This window comes from Homo sapiens, chromosome 19 (assembly GCF_000001405.40).
Source record: "Homo sapiens chromosome 19, GRCh38.p14 Primary Assembly".
Lineage (NCBI taxonomy): Eukaryota > Metazoa > Chordata > Mammalia > Primates > Hominidae > Homo > Homo sapiens.
The window spans coordinates 54572930-54592381 of record NC_000019.10 but is presented as its reverse complement, the minus strand read 5'-3'; the positions used below and the strand labels follow the sequence as shown (position 1 = coordinate 54592381).

The 19452-nt window shown below is 46.4% G+C and overlaps 1 protein-coding gene across 7 annotated transcripts; it reads right to left on the bottom strand.

Moving 5' to 3' along the window:
* Positions 2095-19394, bottom strand: LILRA2 (leukocyte immunoglobulin like receptor A2). 7 transcript variants are annotated; one of them, NM_001290271.2, is made up of 9 exons: positions 18947-19394; positions 18470-18551; positions 18271-18306; positions 17800-18081; positions 17349-17651; positions 16830-17126; positions 16273-16575; positions 14659-14917; positions 2095-5181 (listed from the first exon to the last, which is right to left on the bottom strand). In NM_001290271.2, exons 2-8 carry the CDS (start codon positions 18501-18503, stop codon positions 14700-14702), a joined length of 1473 nt encoding a protein of 490 aa, NP_001277200.1. In that variant the 5' UTR covers positions 18504-18551; positions 18947-19394; the 3' UTR covers positions 2095-5181; positions 14659-14699. The 7 variants fall into 7 exon arrangements, with proteins under 7 accessions (NP_001277200.1, NP_006857.2, NP_001124389.2 ...); NM_006866.4 differs by lacking the exon at positions 14659-14917 and having other exon boundaries at positions 18470-18684; NM_001130917.3 differs by lacking the exons at positions 14659-14917; positions 18947-19394 and adding an exon at positions 5322-5372 and having other exon boundaries at positions 18470-18592.

The window sequence follows — 19452 nt, the reverse complement described above, 5'->3', positions numbered from 1 at the left end:
CCGTTTGGTTGAAGAGAGTGTGCATACAAGAGACCCCAGGAATTCAAGGCTGCATTGCTCCAGGGTTGCCTGGATTTTGCTTGTATTTGACAATGAGAAGCAAAGATTACAATCTGGAGTGCATGGCATGGCAAGACACAGTGCATCCGGAGAGGGAAGTGTGATGTTGTGATACACACTGGTTTTCACCCGCGGTTCCTGGCTTATAACTCCATACCACTGGTTACAGTCTTTTGTTAGAGTATTGGCTGTGTTAGGCCTTAGGGGAGGCCTCTGACCTCCTCCTGCCCTTCCTTCACCTGCCCAAGGCAAGACTCGAATGTTCCCTGCCTTTCTGATGGTGGCTCTTAAGACCCTCCCAGAAGATGGTCTCACCCTGTTCCTTGTGGGAGGAAATGCTGATGTCACGAAGCTCCTTAAAAGCCCAAGAGGACTGGGTTTCATGGGCTTCTGGATGGCTGAGCATGCGGAGGTTCCTGGAGCGTGGCGCCCAGGGAGGGCATAGATGCTCCGGTCCCTTCCCCCATGCCTCCTCCTATGAGTCTCTTCATCTGTGTCCTCTGCAGTGTGCTTTGTATTCAACCAGTAAACGTCAGTGTCTCCCTGAGTTCTGTGAGCTGCTACAGCAAATTAATCAAACCCAAAGAGGTGGTCATGGGATCCCCAACTTGAAGCCAGTCAGTCAGAAGTTCTGGAGGTCTGGACTTGGGAATGGTGTGTGGGGGCAATCTTGGAGAATGGGCCTTCAATCTGTGGGATCTGGGACTGTGTCTGGGTAGACAGCTCGGAGCCGACTTAGAGGACACCCAGCTGCTGTTCGCTATTGGGTCTGGGAAACAATCCCACACATCTGATCCTACAAGTCTCCTGTGTTGATGACTGTTGTGGTGTGAGAGTAGAGGAAAAACATCATAGAGAGAGCTCTCTGTACATAGAGAGGTAAAGGAAATTCTTATCAGCAACAAGGGAGAGGCTGACAGAGCTGCTTAGAAGCAGAGTTCCCTGGTTCCAGAGGTTCAAAGCCAGAGTTGCTGTCAGTCCATTGGAGGAGATGCCATTGCTGGGCAAGTATTCTCTCGAGAGCAGCCTATCTGCATTCCTGATGTCCTAAAGAATATCTAGTAATAAACCATGTCAAAGCAGGAGAGGGGTGAAAGACATGGAAGAGTTTCTTATGGGGTTTTTAAAAAAGTCCTTAGAAACAGTTCTTATCTGAGACCTGGCAACACGAGCCTCCTCTCCGTCAGGCCTTCCTGGCCCTGTGGGGTCTGAGTTTAACCAAAGTCATCTCATCCTTGCTCATGTGACTTTCCTACTGGGTATCTGCAGTGAAGGGATTGAGTTACAAAGTTTAACCTGAGCGTTTCAGGAGTTTGGTTCAGGGCAGGGTTTGTTTCTACATAATTAACAAAGGGTTAATTTTTCAGTGTTTTCTAGAAACAATCTAAGGTGCTTTATCAGTACCTGGGAATGCTCAAGACCTCAGCTTGAGTTCAAGCCTGCAGGTGAAAACAGGCATCTGTCCAGCCCACAGAGCAGTCATGGCACTTTGTCTTTCTCTCAGAACAAAGGAAAAAGTGGAGGAAACCGTGGGATCCTAGAGAGACTGTGGCTCCCTCTCTTCTGTATTTGTGGACAGAATCTGGGATTGCTTGGTTTGGTGACCCAGGCCACATTCAGCACTGAGCCACCTTCCCGGGTGTGCATGACACAGTCTCGCTTTATCACTGCTGGACCGGGCATCTTTGGCACTTGAATGTGAGGGTCTCATGGGCTCCACCATGCCAGGCATAACACAGAGCTGATTCTAAACTTGGGAGCATGGACACCGCAGGGCAGGAGCGGGTACAAAAATGCCCCTCATCAGTTTTCCTTCCTGAGTCATCCCTGGGAGAAACCCTGTATGGAAGATCAGGTGTGTGGGAGAAAAACCCACCCCAGAGGAATAAAAATCGAAGAGTCCATTAGAGAAAAAACAGGCAATTATAGAAATGAATTAGGAAGCTATTGTGATGTGAAAATAGTAAATTATATTAACACATTTAGAAATACTTTCATCAAGAACCAGACACTGCTGAAATGATAAACATTGTATTGGTGTAGAATATTTATTAAATTTTTCATTAGTCATCGGAGAAAAACTAGAAATGAAAAAAATAGAAAAGATAATTAATGCACACAAAGAATAGAGTGAGAAGAGGAAACAGATATATCTCTATGTGTCACACTTTCAGAATGAAGGAAATAAGGAGTATGTTAGTCAATAAATACTTGCAAAGGAAATAGTTGACATTTTTACAGAAATGAAAGATCATGAGTTTAATGTGCACAAATTCATAAATAACATTAATGTCTTAACTATGATAGAGCAAACGATATCTAGAATAGATACAAAGTAATTTTAAAACTACTGGAGAAAATGAAAATTATTCTCAAATGAATGACAAGCACATTGGGACTGAGTTTCCCAGGACTGAAAAGTGGTAGAAAAAATGATCGGGGGCTCAGGTTCAGGTTGGATGAATGGAAACAGCTGGCATGTGCCTGTCTCGTTAAGAGGAGTCAAAATGGTGAGTAAATACCGAAATTCTAAGTGGATCTTCTAGGACAGCATGATGGGGCTCACCAGAGAACCACAGGGACATGGAAAGCACAGAGGAGAAAAGCTGATAGGCAGGAGAGCCTCCGAACAAGGAGACGGGGTGAGTGTATTAGTCTAGGTTCCCTAGAGGGAGATAACTAATTTTAAGCCTTTTGATTTATGATACTGGGATGACTTTTTCCTCATTTAGGTCTTTTGTTATTTCTTTGAGCAGTATTTTAAAATTGTCAATGTATACGTATTGCATCTCTTTGGTTAAATGTATTTCTCTTTTTTTGAGACAGAGTCTCACTCTGTTGCCCAGGCTGGAGTGCAATGGCAAGATCTCAGCTCACTGCAACCTCTGTTTCCTGGGTTGACGCGATTCTCCTGTCTCAGCCTCCTGAGTAGCTGGGATTACAGGCGTGTACCACCACACCCACCTAATTTTTGTATTTGGTTAAATGTATTTCTATGCATACTTTTCTTGTAGACACTGTCATAAATTGACTTGTTCCCCCTAATATACACGTTGAAATCCTGAGCCCCATTAGCTATAAATGTGAACATAGTTGGAAATAGAGTCTTTGCAAATGCATTTAAGTTATGATCAAGGGATCATAACGAATTAGGATGAGTCCTAATCTGATCTGAGTGATATCATAATCTGAAGAAGAGAAAAGACACACACAGAAGAATGGGTGTGAAGACAGAGGCAACCAGGTAGGTGTAAGCATTGAGAAGATGGAGGCAGAAACTGGTGGGATGCTGCCCCAAGCCAAGGAGTGCCTGGACCAGCAGAAAGTAGAACGAGTCATTTAAGAATTCTTCCATCAGCCGGGCACAGTGGCTTACACCTGTAATCCCAGCACTCTGGGAGGCTGAGGCAGGTGGATAACCTGAGGTCAGGAGTTCAAGACCAGCCTCACTAACATGGCGAGACCCCCGTCTCTACTAAAAATACAAAAAATAGCCGGGAATGGTGGTGCACACCTGTAGTCCAGTAACTCGGGAGGCAGAGGCAGGAGAATTGCTTGAACCTGGGAAGTGGAGGTTGCAGTGAGCCGAGATTGCACCATTGCACTCCAGCCTGGGCAACAAAGCAAAACTCCATCTCAAAAAAAATTCTTTCATCGAAACTGCATAGTTCTGTTAACATTTTTCTTATGTTGTACTTGGATTTTTTTTTTTTTTTGAGACGGAGTCTTGCTCTGTCGCCCAGGCTGGAGGGCAGTGTCGCAATCTCGGCCCATTGCAAGCTCCGCCTCCCAGGTTCACGCCATTCTCCTGCCTCAGCCTCCTGAGTAGCTGGGACTACAGGCGCCCACCACCACGCCCGGCCAATATTTTTTTGTGTATTTAGTAGAGACGGGGTTTCACCATGTTAGCCAGGATGGTCTAGATCTCCTGACCTCGTGATCTGCCTGCCTTGGCCTCCCAAAGTGCTGGGATTACAGGCGTGAGCCACCGCGCCCGGCATGTACTTTGATTTTTAGGTGAGCCGTGTTATCTCCCACATCAGATATTAATAGGTTTGTCTTTTGTGGATATGCTAGGATAACAGTGTCAGAATTTCATTTGACCTGTGCCATAACACTGAAGTAGAAGTGATCATTGCCTCTGAAATAGAAAGGACTGTAGGTATATGGGTGAGCTCTCAGTGGGATGTGCCACAGGTCCCTGGTGCTCATTAGTGAAGACAGTTCTGTCCCTTGCTTCCCAACCCTGTATTCAGTGAGAACCCATTGGCACCTTGATTTGGGCCATGAGAAAAATATTTATGTCACAGAAATTGGTAGATACCACTAATTACAGTATTTTAGAGATGTCTTTTTCTGAATCAGCATAGCTGTGGTGTCACTTGAAATGCCAGTGTGATGATTCCAAGTGGTGATATTTCAGGAGAAATTACACAGATAGCATCTGAGAAAGAGGGAAGGGCTCATAAGGTACAGAGAGGGTGTCAGGGCAGCAGGGTGGATTTATGTTTTCCTGGTTGGAATCTGATCTCCTGTCGTTGATTTAGTTGGTGGTTCAGGTTTGGATCTCTGAACTGAAGAGACGGGGACTCAGTAAGTGACATCAAGGAGTGTGACAATGAGGAATAAGGAAGACTGTGTCACATGCCGTGGACCAGAGCACACAGGTGTGTGGAGGTGTGGACCCAACGGTGCCATGTGGGATGGAGCCTCATGTCTGGGGATGGGAAAAAAAGGGGATCCAGTCAAGGGAAGTCAACATTCATAGACAAAAAAATGTACCACAGTTTAATGATCTTCTAGGAATCACCCCAGACAGTTTCCTTACACTCAAATATTGATTGCTGTCTCTAGAAATGACCAGCATACAGTCCAGATAATGTAGGTCCTAGATTGTCCTCCAGAGCCTCCTGGGATCATCAGATCTGTCCCTGAGGCTCCACCACGCTGAAGGATGCATTGTCCTCTCTGCTGTTCACCTCCCGGCTGCATCTTGTAGGCTTCTCTGGCTGTGCTGAGCCTCAAATAGCAGAATCCCGAGGACCACCAGGACCAAGCCAGCCACACCCATGCGGATGAGATTCTCCACTGTGTAATCCTGGGGGTGTTGGCCTAGGGATGCTGGACAAAGAGGTCACAGAGGTCAGGGCAGATCGGAATCACCCCGGGACTCCTGTATGTCCACCCAGGGCACCCACCTCCCCTTTACAGGACCTGACCCTCTGTGCCAGTCCCATAACTGAGAGCATCTCCTCACTCACTAGTCGTGGAGTCTGTCTTGTTTTGTGATGGGCTGAGGGTCTCAGCTGCTTCTGAGAATCAAAACAGTGGAGAAGAGCCCTGAGCCCAGCCTCACTCCTGGGCTCTGCATTCTTCTTTTCCCCTGTGTCTCTTGACATGAGTTTTATGGAGTTCCTCAATAAACCCTTCCTCTGCTGTAGCAGGGTTCCCTCCAGTCTCCTCATTGAATTATTTCAGACTTCCTGTGTTCTACAAATCCAAACTCAGCTCCTGAGTCATTTGGGAGAGTTTTCCTGCATCCCGGGAGCTCAGCATGGATATGGTAAGTGGTCCCCAATACAGAAATAACCAGGACCTTATGTGCTCTCTGTGCAGCCTGGGACCTTGTGTGCTCTCTGTGTCCTCTCTGAGCCCTAACTGGCTGCAAGGAGCAGGTGCAGGACCACAGAAGCCAATGCTCCCCAGAGATGAGTTTCACGGATCCGCCAGCTGAGGACCCAGGCTCCATGGAGGAGGGGTTGGACCTCAGGGGCTCTTGAATGTCAGGAACACAAAGGGGTGAAAGTCTGGGTCTGCCTCCCCTTCATGCCCTCAACCACTTCACCTGGGGTTTCATCTTCCGTTTAATCCTTAGGTAACTAATTCCTCATACAGGCAGTAACCCCTAGAATGCAATACACGTGCATGCACACCCACCCACACACACAAATATGCATATGTTAAATGCTGGTGCTATCCGAGGTTCATAAATGAATACTTCTGCTCCAGCAAGTGTGAGTCTAGATAAGAAGACCAATAACAAACCTGTAAAGACCTGTCATGTCAAATATGTGAAGCATATGGATGAATACATATAAAAATGTGTTTAGATATACCTCCACTCACATCATGTGTAATGTATAGAACCTGTGTATATATGTAAAACTTCAGAAATGTATTTATTATGTAGTTATATACACGTTAATATTTGAGAAATATTGGCATGTAATTTAGAAATAAAGAAATAAAATTTCCATGTATTATGATTTCTAAAATTGTACCAGAAATTAAAGGAGATCATTGAAGAGTAATTAGAAAGGAGCCATTCTCTAGTGGGTGAATAACAAATAAAAAGAACATAATGAAACCAGTCACTTTCTCATGGATACCTATCCTTCTTTAAAAAAAATATAGGTGTCGCTTCCAAGATGGTCGAATAGGAATGGCTCCGGTCTGCAGCTGGATTTCTGCATTTCCAACTGAGGTACCTGGTTTATCTCATTGGGACTGGTTGGACTGTGGCTGCAGCCCACAAAGGGCGAGCTGAAGCAGGATGGGGTGTCGCCTCACCTGGGAAGCACAAGGGGTCGGAGGATTTCCCTTTCCTAGCCAAGGGAAGCCGTGACAGACTGTATCCGGAGAAACAGTACCCTCCTGACCAACTACTGCACTATTCCCACAGTCTTAGCAACTGGCAGACCAGGAGATACCCTCCCGTGCCTGGCTCGGCAGGTCTCACACCCACGGAGCCTTGCTCACTGCTAGCGCAGCAGTCTGAGATCGACCTGCGATGCTGCAGCTGGATGGAGGGAAGGGCATCCACCATTGCTGAGGTTGGAGTAGCTCACAGTGTAAACAAAGATGCCTGGAAGCACGAACTGGGTGGAGCCCACCACAGCTCAGCAAGGCCTACTGCCTCTACAGATTCCACTTCTGGGGGCAGGGCATAGTAGAACAAAGGGCAGCAGGTAGCTTCTGCAGACTTAAACGTCCCTGTCTGATAGCCCTGAAGACAGCAGTGGTTCTCTCAGCACCGCATTAGAGCTCCAACAACGGACAGACTGCATCCTCAAGTGGGTCCCTGACCCCCGTGTAGCCTGACTGGGAAACACCTCCCAGTAGGGGCCAACAGACACCTCAAACAGGTGGGTGCCCCTCTGGGATGAAGCTTCGAAAGGAAGGGTCAGGCAGCAATATTTGCTGTTCTGCAGCCTCTGCTGGTGATACCCAGGCAAATAAGGTCTGGCTGGACTGGACCTCCAGCAAACACCAACAGACCTGCTGCTGAGGGGTCTGACTCTTAGAAGGAAAACTAACAAACAGAAAGGAATAGCATCAATGTCAACAAAAAGGACATCCACACCAAAACCCCATCCCTAGGTCACCAACATCAAAGACCAAAGGTAGATAAAACCACAAAGATGGGGAGAAACCAGAGCAGAAAAGCTGAAAATTCCAAAAACAGAGTGCCTCTTCTCTTCCAAAGGATCGCAGCTCCTCACCGGCAACAGAACAAGACTGGATGAAGAATGAGTTTGACAAGTTGATGGAAGTAGGTTTCAGAAGGTCGGTAATAACAAACTTCTTCAAGCTAAAGAAGCATGTTCTAACCCATTGCAAGGAAGCTAAAAACCTTGAAAAATGGTTAGATGAATGGCTAACTACAATAAACCGTGTAGAGAAGACCTTAAATGACCTGATGCAGCTGAAAACCACGGCACAAGAACTTCGTGATGCATGCACAAGCTTCAATAGCTGATTCGATCAAGTGGAAGAAAGGATATCAGTGACTGAAGATCAAATTAATGAAATAAAGCAAGAAGACAAGATTAGAGAAAAGAGAATGAAAAGAAATGAACAAAGCCTCCAAGAAATATGGGACTATGTGAAAAGACCAAATTTATGTTTGACTAGTGTACCGGAAAGTGACGAGGAGAATGGAACCAAGTTAGAAAACACTCTTCAGAATATTATCCAGGAGAACTTCCCTAACCTACAAAGGCAAGCCAACATTCAAATTCAGGAAATACAGAGAACACCACAAAGACACTCCTTGAGAAGAGCAACCCAAAGACACATAATTATCAGATTCACCAAGGTTGAAATGAAGGAAAAAATATTAAGGGCAGCCAGAGAGAAAGGTCTGGTTACCCAAAAAGAAAAGCCCATCAGACTAACAGCGGATCTCTTGGCAGAAACTCTACAAGCCAGAAGAGAGTGGAGGCCAATATTCAACATTCTTAAAGAAAATAATTTTCAACCCAGACTGTCATATCAAGCCAAACTAAGCTTCATCAGTGAAGGAGAAATAAAATCCTTTACAGCCAAGCAAATGCTGAGAGATTTTGTCACCACCAGGCCTGCCTTAAAAGAGCTCCTGAAGGAAGCACTAAACATGGAAAGGAACAATCAGTGCCAGCCACTGCAAAAACATGCCAAATGGTAAAGACCACTGACACTATGAAGAAACTGCATCAATTAATGGACAAAATAACCAGCTAACATCATAATGACATGATCAAACTCAAACATAACAGTATTAACCTTAAATGTAAATGGGTTAAATGCTCCAATTAAAAGACACAGACCAGCAAATTGGATAAAGAATCAAGACCCATCAGTGTGCTGTATTCAGGAGACCCATCTCATGTGCAGAGACACACATAGGCTCAAAATAAAGGTATGGAGGAAGATCTACCAAGCAAATGGAAAGAAAAAAAAAAAGCAGGAGTTGCAATCCTAGTCTCTGATAATACAGACTTTAAACCAACAAAGATCAAAAGAGACAAGGCCACTACATTATGGTAAAGGGATCAATTCAACAAGAAGAGTTAACTATCCTAAATATATATGCACCCAATACAGGAGCACCCAGATTCAAAAACCAAGTCCTTAGAGACCTACAAAAAGACTTAGACTCCCACACAATAATAATAGGAGACTTTAACACCCCTCTGTCAATATTAGATCAATGACACATAAGGTTAACAAGGATATCCAGGACTTGAACTCAGGTCTGAACCAAGCAGACCTAATAGACATCTACTGAACTCTACACCCCAAATCAACAGAATACACATTCTTCTCAGCATCACTTTGCACTTATTCCAAAATTGACCACATAATTGGTAGTAAACCACTCCTCAGCAAATGTAAAAGAACAGAAATCACAACAAACTGTCTCTCACACCACAGTGCAATCAAATTACAACTCAGGATTAATAAACTCACTCAAAACCACACAACTACATGGAAACTGACCAACCTGTTCCTGAATGACTACTGGGTAAATAATGAAATGAAGGCAGAAATAAAGATGTTCTTTGGAACCAATGAGAACAAAGACAAAACATAACAGAATCTCTGGGACACATTTAAAGCAGTGTGTAGAGGGAAATTTATAGCACTAAATGCCCAAAAGAGAAAGCAGGAAAGATCTAAAATCGACACCCTAACATCACAATTAAAAGAACTAGAGAAGCAAGAGCAAACAAATTCAAAAGCTAGCAGAAGGCAAGACATAACTAAGATCAGAGCAGAACTGAAGGAGATAGAGACACAAAAAACCCTTCAAAAAAATCAATGAATCCTGGAGCTGGTTTTTTGAAAAGATCAACAAAATTGATAGACCGCTAGGAAGACTAATAAACAAGAAAAGAGAGAAGAATCAAATAGATGCAATGAAAAATGATAAAGGGGATATCACCACCGATTCCACAGAAATACAAACTACCATCAGAGAATACTGTAAACACCTCTACACAAATAAACTAGAAAATCTAGAAGAAATGGATAAATTCCTGGACACATACACCCTCCCAAGACTAAACCAGAAAGAAGTTGAATCTATGAATAAACCAATAACAGGTTCTGAAATGAAGGCAATAATTAATAGCCTACCAACCAAAAAAAATCCAGGACCAGAAGGATTCGCAGCCGAATTCTACCAGAGGTACAAAGAGGAGCTGGTACCACTCTCTCTGAAACTACTCCAGTCAATGGAAAAAGAGGGAATCCTCCCTAACTCATTTTATGAGGCTAGCATCATCCTGATACCAAAGCCTCGTAGACACACAACAAAAAAGGATAATTTTAGGTCAATATCCCTGATGAACATTGATGCAAAACTCCTCAATAAAATACTGGCAAACCAAATCCAGCAGCACATCAAAAAGCTTACCCACCATGACCAAGTCAGCTTCATCCCTGGGATGCAAGGCTGGTTCAACATAGGCAAATCACTAAATGTAATCCATCACATAAACAGAACCAATGACAAAAACCACATGATTATCTTAATAGATGCAGAAAGGGCCTTTGACAAAATTCAACAGCCCTTCATGCTAAAAACTCTCAATAAACTCGGTACTGATGGAACATATCTCAAAATAATAACAGCTATTTATAGCAAACCCACAGCCAATATCATACTGAATGGGCAAAGAAGTATTCCCTTTGAAAACCGGCACAATGCGGGCTCTTTTTTGGTTCCATATGAACTTTAAAGTAGTTTTTTCCAATTCTGTGAAGAAAGTCATTGGTAGCTTGATGGGGATGGCATTGAATCTGTAAATTACCTTGGGCAGTATGGCCATTTTCACGATATTGATTCTTCTTACCCATGAGCATGGAATGTTCTTCCATTTGTTTGTGTCCTCTTTTATTTCCTTGAGCAGTGGTTTGTAGCACTACCTGACTTCAAACTATACTACAAGGCTACAGTAACCAAAACAGCATGGTACTGGTACCAAAACAGAGATATAGATCAATGGAACAGAACAGAGCCCTCAGAAATAATGCCGCATATCTACAACTATCTGATCTTTGACAAACCTGAGAAAAACAAGCAATGGGGAAAGGATTCCCTATTTAATAAATGGTGCTGGGAAAACTGGCTAGCCATATGTAGAAAGCTGAAACTGGATCCCTTCCTTACACCTTATACAAAAATCAATTCAAGATGGAATAAAGATTTAAACGTTAAACCTAAAACCATAAAAACCCTAGAAGAAAACCTAGGCATTACCATTCAGGACATAGGCGTGGGCAAGGACTTCATGTCCAAAACACCAAAAGCAATGGCAACAAAAGACAAAATTGACAAATGGGATCTAATTAAACTAAAGAGCTTCTGCACAGCAAAAGAAACTACCATCAGAGTGAACAGGCAACCTACAACATGGGAGAAAATTTTCGCAACCTACTCATCTGACAAAGGGCTAATATCCAGAATCTACAATGAACTCAAACAAATTTACAAGAAAAAAACAAACAACCCCATCAAAAAGTGGGCGAAGGACATGAACAGACACTTCTCAAAAGAAGACATTTATGCAGCCAAAAAACACATGAAGAAATGCTCATCATCACTGGCCATCAGAGAAATGCAAATCAAAACCACTATGAGATATCATCTCACACCAGTTAGAATGGCAATCATTAAAAAGTCAGGAAACAACAGGTGCTGGAGAGGATGCGGAGAAATAGGAACACTTTTACACTGTTGGTGGGACTGTAAACTAGTTCAACCATTGTGGAAGTCAGTGTGGCGATTCCTCAGGGATCTAGAACTAGAAATACCATTTGACCCAGCCATCCCATTACTGGGTATATACCCAAATGAGTATAAATCATGCTGCTATAAAGACACATGCACACGTATGTTTATTGCGGCACTATTCACAATAGCAAAGACTTGGAACCAACCCAAATGTCCAACAATGATAGACTGGATTAAGAAAATGTGGCACATATACACCATGGAATACTATGCAGCCATAAAAAATGATGAGTTCATATCCTTTGTAGGGACATGGATGAAATTGGAAACCATCATTCTCAGTAAACTATCGCAAGAACAAAAAACCAAACACCGCATATTCTCACTCATAGGTGGGAATTGAACAATGAGATCACATGGACACAGGAAGGGGAATATCACACTCTGGGGACTGTGGTGGGGTCGGGGGAGGGGGGAGGGATAGCATTGGGAGATATACCTAATGCTAGATGACACATTAGTGGGTGCAGCACACCAGCATGGCACATGTATACATATGTAACTAACCTGCACAATGTGCACATGTACCCTAAAACTTAGAGTATAATAAAAAAAAAAAAAAAAGAAAAGAAAACCGGCACAAGACAAGAATTTCCTCTCTCACCACTCCTATTCAACATAGTGTTGGAAGTTCTGGCTAGGGCAATCACGCAAGAGAAAGAAATAAAGTGTATTCAATTAGGAAAAGAGAAAGTCAAATTATCTCTGCTTGCAGATGACATGATTATATATTTAAAACCCCATTGACTCAGCCCAAAATCTCCTTAAGCTGATAAGCAACTTCAGCAAAGTCTCAGGATACAAAATCAATGTGCAAAAATTACAAGCATTCCTATAAACCAATAATAGACAAACAGAGAGCCAAGTCATGAGTGAACTCCCATTTGCAATTACTACAAAGAGAATAAAATACCTAGGAATCCAACTAACAAAGGATGTGAAGGACCTCTTCAAAGAGAACTACAAACCACTGCTCAATGAATTAAAAGAGAACACAGACAAATGGAAGAACATTCCATGCTCATGGATAGGAAGAATCAATATTGTGAAAATGGCCACACTGCCCAAAGGGATTTATAGATTCAATGCTATCCCCATCAAGCTACCACTGACTTTCTTCACATAATTGGAAAAAACTACTTTAAAGTTCATATGGAACCAAAAAAAAGCCCGCATTGCCAAGACAATCCTAAGCAAAAAGAACAAAGTTGGAGGCATCACGCTACCTGACTTCAAACTACCCTTCAAGGCTACAGTAACCAAAGCAGCATGGTACTGGTACCAAAACAGATGCATAGACCAATGGAACAGAACAGAGCCCTCAAAAATAAAACCACACATCTACAACCATCTGATCTTTGACAAACTTGACAAAAACAAGAAATGGGGAAAGAATTCCCTATTTAATAAATGGTGCTAGAAAAACTGGCTAGCCACATGTAGAAAGCTGAAACTGGATCCCTTCCTTACACCCTATACGATAATTAAGTCAAGATGGATTAAAGACTTAAATGTAAGACCTAACACCATAAAAACCCTAGAAGAAAACCTAGGCAATACCATTCAGGACATAGGCATGGGCAAGGACTTCATGACTAAAACACCACAAGCAATGGCACCAAAAGCCAAAATAGACAAATGGGATCTAATTAAAGAGCTTCTGCACAGCAAAAGAAACTATCATGAGAGTGAACAGGCAGCCTACAGAATGGGAGAAAATTTTTGCAATCTACCCATTTGGCAAAGTGCTAATATCCAGAATCTATAAAGAACTTAAACACATTTACAAAAAAAAAAAATCAAAAAGTGGGCAAAGGATATGAACAGACACTTCTCAAGAGAAGACATTTATGCAGGCAACAGACATATGCAAAAATGCTTATCATCACTGGTCATCAGAGAAATGCACATCAAAACAGCAGTGAGATACCATCTCATGCCAGTTAGAATGGCAATCATTAAAAAGTCAGGAAACTACAGATGCTGGAGAGGATGTGGAAAAATAGGAACGCTTTTACACTGTTGGTGGGAGTGTAAATTAGTTCAACCATTGTGGAAGACAGTGTGACGATTCCTCAAGAATCTACAACTAGAACTACCATTTGACCCAGCAATCCCATTACTGGGCATATACCCAAAGGGTTATAAACCATTCTACGACAAAGACACATGCACACATATGTTTACTGTGGCACTAATCACAATAGCAAAGACTTGGAACCAACCCAAATGTCCATCAGTGGACTGCATTAAGAAAATGTGGCACATATACACCATGGAATACTATGCAGCCGTTAAAAAGGATGAGTTCATGTCCTTTGCAGGGACATTGATGAACCTGGAAACCATCACTCAGCAAACTGTCACAAGAACAGAAAACCAAACACCGCATGTTCTCACTCATAATGGGAGTTGAACAATGAGAACACATGGACACAGGGCGGGGAACATCACACACCGGGGCCAGTCTAGGGGTGGGGGGCTGGGAGAAGGATAGCATTAGGAGAAATACTAATGTGAATGACGAGTTGATGGGTGCAGCAAACCAACATGGCACCTGTATACCTACGTAACAAACCTGCACATTGTGCACATGTACCCTGGAACTTAAACTATAATAATAAAATATATATATATATATAAAGAAATCAAATACCTCACTTATCAATTGTTAAAGATGTTGAATAATTCTTTAAGTTAAAATGAGCATACAATATTCTTAGGAGTAAAATTTCAAAACATGTCTTAAATTCATTAAGAAAATCTTCATTTTTAATGTGTGAAGGAGGAAGAGTTGATATTAATGAGAAATTTGTTTCTACATTGAATGTATAAATTAAATCAAGACTCAATTAAAGGGGAGTATAAATAAGGATTTTTAAATAATATATGCATACAATTTTAAGTTCATATATTATAAATTCATATATTCAAATACTGTTTTAAAAGTTTTAGAAAAAAAGTAACAAAGGACAAGTGCATACAGAAAATGCAGAGTAGAAATGAGTTAAACAGAAAGACGTGCTGTGAATACTTGCCTGACTTGTCCAGGGAGCAGGTGCAGGGCCCCTCCTTATTCTCAGGGATGCCCTGAGCACAGAGGCCTCCAGGTGAGCACAGGAGGGGCAGTGTGAGCGGCACCCACAGCTGGGGTGCTTCTCTCTAAAGGAGCACATCTGGGGTGGACTCCAGCCTCATCACAGTCAGATCCCACCGAGGCCCAAGCAGCCTCCTCTCTTGTCTTGAGATGGCCCAGGGACCCCGCAGGTGTGGGTGAAGGGCTTATACTCAGGGGCTCTTGGAAATGAGAAATGAGAGCTGCCAATACACTGTCCATCTGTCCTCTCTCCAACTCACCTGCCTCTCTTCCTCCTCCATCAGCCCCAGCATCTTCCCAGTGTCCAAGTCAGGCCTGGACCCCAAATCCTCCCCACCCAGCCTGTTCTCCTTCCTCTACTCATCACACATCCTGCAGGACAAGGCCAGGGGCTGGGGGTCCTGCAGAGCTGTGCCAGCTATTGATTTTGGTAGAAAATTGGAGACATTTTCTCTTGTACACGAGAGAGGGGAGACTCTCAACCAGCGGGGTTTTGTAAACTTTTGTTTTTTCCAAAATATTGTGTCTTTGTCTTACTAAGCTGAGATTCCAGGAGGGATGGGTAAAACTGCATGCACCTGCCCCCATCTCCGTTGGTTTTTTAACTCTTAACAAGTCTCAGTTATTGGGAGAATTAGGAGAGGGCCAGAGAGGGCTGTAGACGGGAGCAGGTCTAGGATGAGCCACATCCCAGATGCCCCAGAAGGTCAGAAATGAAGGGGCTTTGGGGCAGTCACATCCAGGCAGCTCCCCCTTATTCAGATGAGGAGTCCAGGGTGCAAGGGGAATGGGCTCTTTCAGAAGTTCCACCTCCCAAGGAGAGGCTGAGCCATCACAGACCCAGCCCCACCTCCCCGGGCTCCTCCCACCTGACTCCTAGACCAAGTACCTGACTGTGATCTCCCCTGACCCTGGCTCCCCCATGAGAGGTGACGGCTCCTGGGAATCCTGCTCAGGGAGGGGGAAAGATCCCTCTGCTCCGCTCATCAATGCTGAACCTCAGACACCTCCCTCCCCTCTGAACACCACGGAGGGAACACCTGCCCCATCCCTGAAGCCCCAGGAAGCCACGCAGACCACACCCTTACTGTCCACCCTCCCCGCTGCTGCCCTGGAAATCAGACCCTGAATATTGGAGGTAGCATTGAGATGAGTCTAGAAACTTCTCTTGAGCTGGGAGTGGCTGGTTTTGTCACCCATGGGGTCAGGACATAGGGTTTGGGACCCCCAGAGGCTCTGATTCTGAGGTGGAGACATCAGGAGGGGAGCGGGTGGGGTCTCCGTCTTCCACCCTCAGTCTAATCACATCTCTGAGGTTCACCACCCGCCCCCCCGCCCCCGTCTCCTCCCAGCCCTTCATGCTCTTTACTGAGACTTCAGGGGTGGGAGCCAGGGGTGGGAGGTCCCTGCCTATTTCCACTCTCCCATGGGCTGGACCCTCCCCTGTGGACCCTCCCGCTTCACTCCCCTCATTCATTATTGTCCCAGAGCTCTGCTGGGGGCAGGGCCTGAGCTGAGCCTTTGAGCTCGGAGAGGACAAGATCAGGGCCCTCACCTGAGACCACGAGCTCCAGGGGGTCACTGGGGAGAGACAGCAGGTAGGGGTTGGAGCTGAGTGAGCTGTAGCATCTGTAGGTCCCCACGTGGGCTGAGGTCACAGGACCCATGCGGAATTCAGCCTGGTTCTGCTGAGCTTGGTGCTCTGATCTCAGATGCAGTGGGGGATGGCCTGCCCCCTCCTTGGTCAGAAGGAAAGTGTGGAACTGCCCCCGTGACTGACACAGCAGGGTCACGTTCTTTCCTGGGGCTACTGTGGGGACCGGCTGCACCGAGAGAGAGGGTCTGTCATAGAACTGTCCTAGAGAGAAGAAGGATGGGTGAGGGGCTGCCCCACCTTGTTCTGAGCTGAGACCTCCCCAGGCCTCTCCCTGGGACCCTTAGTCTCTCTGTCTCTGTTTTCTCTGAGTCTCCCCTCCCCGCCCATCCCCTGTCTCTCTCTGTCTCTCCCTCCCTTGGGACCCCCAACCCTCATTCCGGCCATCACCACCTGGGCTCCCCTGGCAGGGCCTGTGCAGAGCCTGGGTCCCTGACTGAACCCGCTGGGCTCCTCACCTGTGATCAGGATGTCCAGGGGGTCACTGGGGGCCGACCACTCGGAGGAGAGGTTGTGTGCACTGTAGCATCTGTACTGGCCCCCGTGGGAGGGGCTCACAGGGCCCAGGGTGAAGTTGGCCTGGGAGAGCCCAGCCTGGGGCTGCCAACCAGGGCGCTGGAGGAAGTCACGTTCTCCCTCCTTATACAGAACAAATCTGTCGTAGCCGACATCAGAGACACACTGGAGGGTCAGGCTCTCCCCAGGGGCCACCATAGGACCTGGCTGCACTGAGAGTGATGGCTTCTTAGAAACACCTGGGAAAAGGTGTTCATGGTTTCCAGGAGCCGACCCTCAGGCTTCCCCACAAACCCTCCCTCTCCCCCGCTGATCTTCCTGTGTCTCCGGCCCCAGGAGCCCTGAGCCCTCTCGCCCCAACATCATCCCACCTGGAGCTGCCCTGAGACGCGGCTGCTCCCCACCTGCCTGGAGACTCAGGGAGACTCAGGGAACTCCAAGCAATTCTGTGAATTTCTCACCTGGGACCAGGAGCTCCAGGAGATCACTGGGTAGAGACCACACATAGGGAGAGTTCGAGTCATAAGCATAGCACCTGTACGACCACCTGCGACTCGGGCTCACGGGGCCCACGGAGAAGATGGCCCAGGACCACCCACGGGCATGGGAATGGGAGTTCAGGCGTTGTGGGTGTTCATCTTCTCCTTCCTTACACAGAATGAAGCCGTCAAATGCCACCTGTGAGACACACTGGAGGGTCACGTTCCCTCCTGAGGTCACCACAGGGCTGGGCAGAGCTGAGAGGGTGGGTTTGCTGTAGGCTCCTAGGAGAGAAGGAGGCACTGTGTTAAATGGGGCTCCCACCTCCCACATCATCCCCAGGGTTGAGCTGTGAGAGCGGAGATGCCCCTGAGAGCCGACCCCCTTCCTGAGGGCAGAGCCTGGGGCTGGGACTCCTGAGTGTCCTCTCACCTGTCACCACCAGCTCCAGGGGGTCACTGTACTCTGATGAGTGATTGTGGCTGTAGTACTGACAGTGATACCGCCCTGCGTGTTCCCAGGTGATGGATGGGATGGGGAACTGGCCATTCTTCCCAGGCTCTTGTATCCGTCTAACCCAGGATGCTGATTTGTTTTCCCTATATAGATGGTACTCCTCAGCCTGAAGGCTCCCCTGACACCTGAGGGTCACAGGACTTCCCTGGATGATCACAGAGCCTGGCTCAGCCCAGAGGGTGGGCTTGGGGAGGTGCCCTGGAAGGAAATCAGAGGTCGGATTCTAAGTCATTTCCCACCCAACAGATCTCAGCTCTCAGCTGCAGGACCCTCCAGACACCCCCATCAGTCAGCCCAGAACTGCTATTCCCCATCCCCAGCTGCACGGGGGTGGCCCCTTGTCCCTAGTGAGGAGGAGGGACCTGGGACAGCTGGGAACAGACTCACCTGCCTGCACGTGGGTCCTGGGGCCCAGACTCAGCCCTGGAAGAGAGTTCCCTGTGAGGGATTTTTCCCCTGAAGCCTGGGCAGGTCCTCCCCTCCCTGGGATCTTTGTGAGCCCCTGGGGTCTCCTTAGGGACCAGAGTTTGGCTGTGGGGTGAGGTCCCTCCTAGGTTAGAAGCTCCCCTCCCTCTTCAAATCTCACCGAGACAGATCAGGACCGTGAGGATGGGGGTCATGGCGTCTCCTCCCACTGCCCTGCTCTGCGGATGGATGAGCCCTCAGTGCTGGCAGGACAGAGAGACGCACAGGGTGTGGACACTCGGAGGCTGGATCCTTCTTGTCATGGGGTTTTGTTATGTGCAACCACACAGGAAGTGCAACTGCCCTCTCAGGAGCCTGGCTGTCATACCTTTAGGGCTGAGGTGGGGGCAGGCACCAGGCCCTCTGCAGACATTTCAGACTGTAATGGGGTCTTTCCTGCCCCCCAGCCACTGTCTGTCTGGTTTATCCTCATCTCCTTGAGACCTGGGATGTAGCAGCAAATAGAACTGGTGCCCTCCTGCGTCTGCCCTTCCAGATGAGGGTGAGCAGAGGCTTCCTCTTCCTTCTCAGAGCTTCCCCATGGGGTCTCCCTCCCTCCTTCAGCCCGTCCATCAGCTCAGCGTTGCGGGGTCCTTACCATGGCGGTCGTCCCTCCAGCCCTGGAGATGCTTCAGGGAAAACCCAGGTCCATGCTGCAGTTAGACTCAGATCAGCAGAGACGCACCTGACACCTGGCTGTGTAGCTCAGGTTGAGCTGCGTGTGGCAGTGAGCACAGAGGAGTAATGCAGGGTCTACCATGGTGGCTCATGCCTGGAATCCCAGCACTTCAGGAGGCTGAGGTGGGTGAAGGCTAGAGGCCAGGAGCTTCAGATTACCCTGGGCCACATAGCAAGACCTTGTCTGTATAAAAAAAGCAAAAAATTAGCCAGGCATGGCAGCTCACATCTCTAGTCCCAGCTACTCAGGAGGCTGAGGTGGGAGGAATACTTCGGCCTGGGAGGCGGAGGCTGCAGGGAGCTATGATCACCCCTTAGCATTCCAGCCTCAGTGACAGAGTGAGACCCTGTCTCAAAAGGGGAAATGCAGGGATTAACTATAATAAAACATATTTGTTCTGTCTTGAGAGTGTGTGTTTCCTTCCT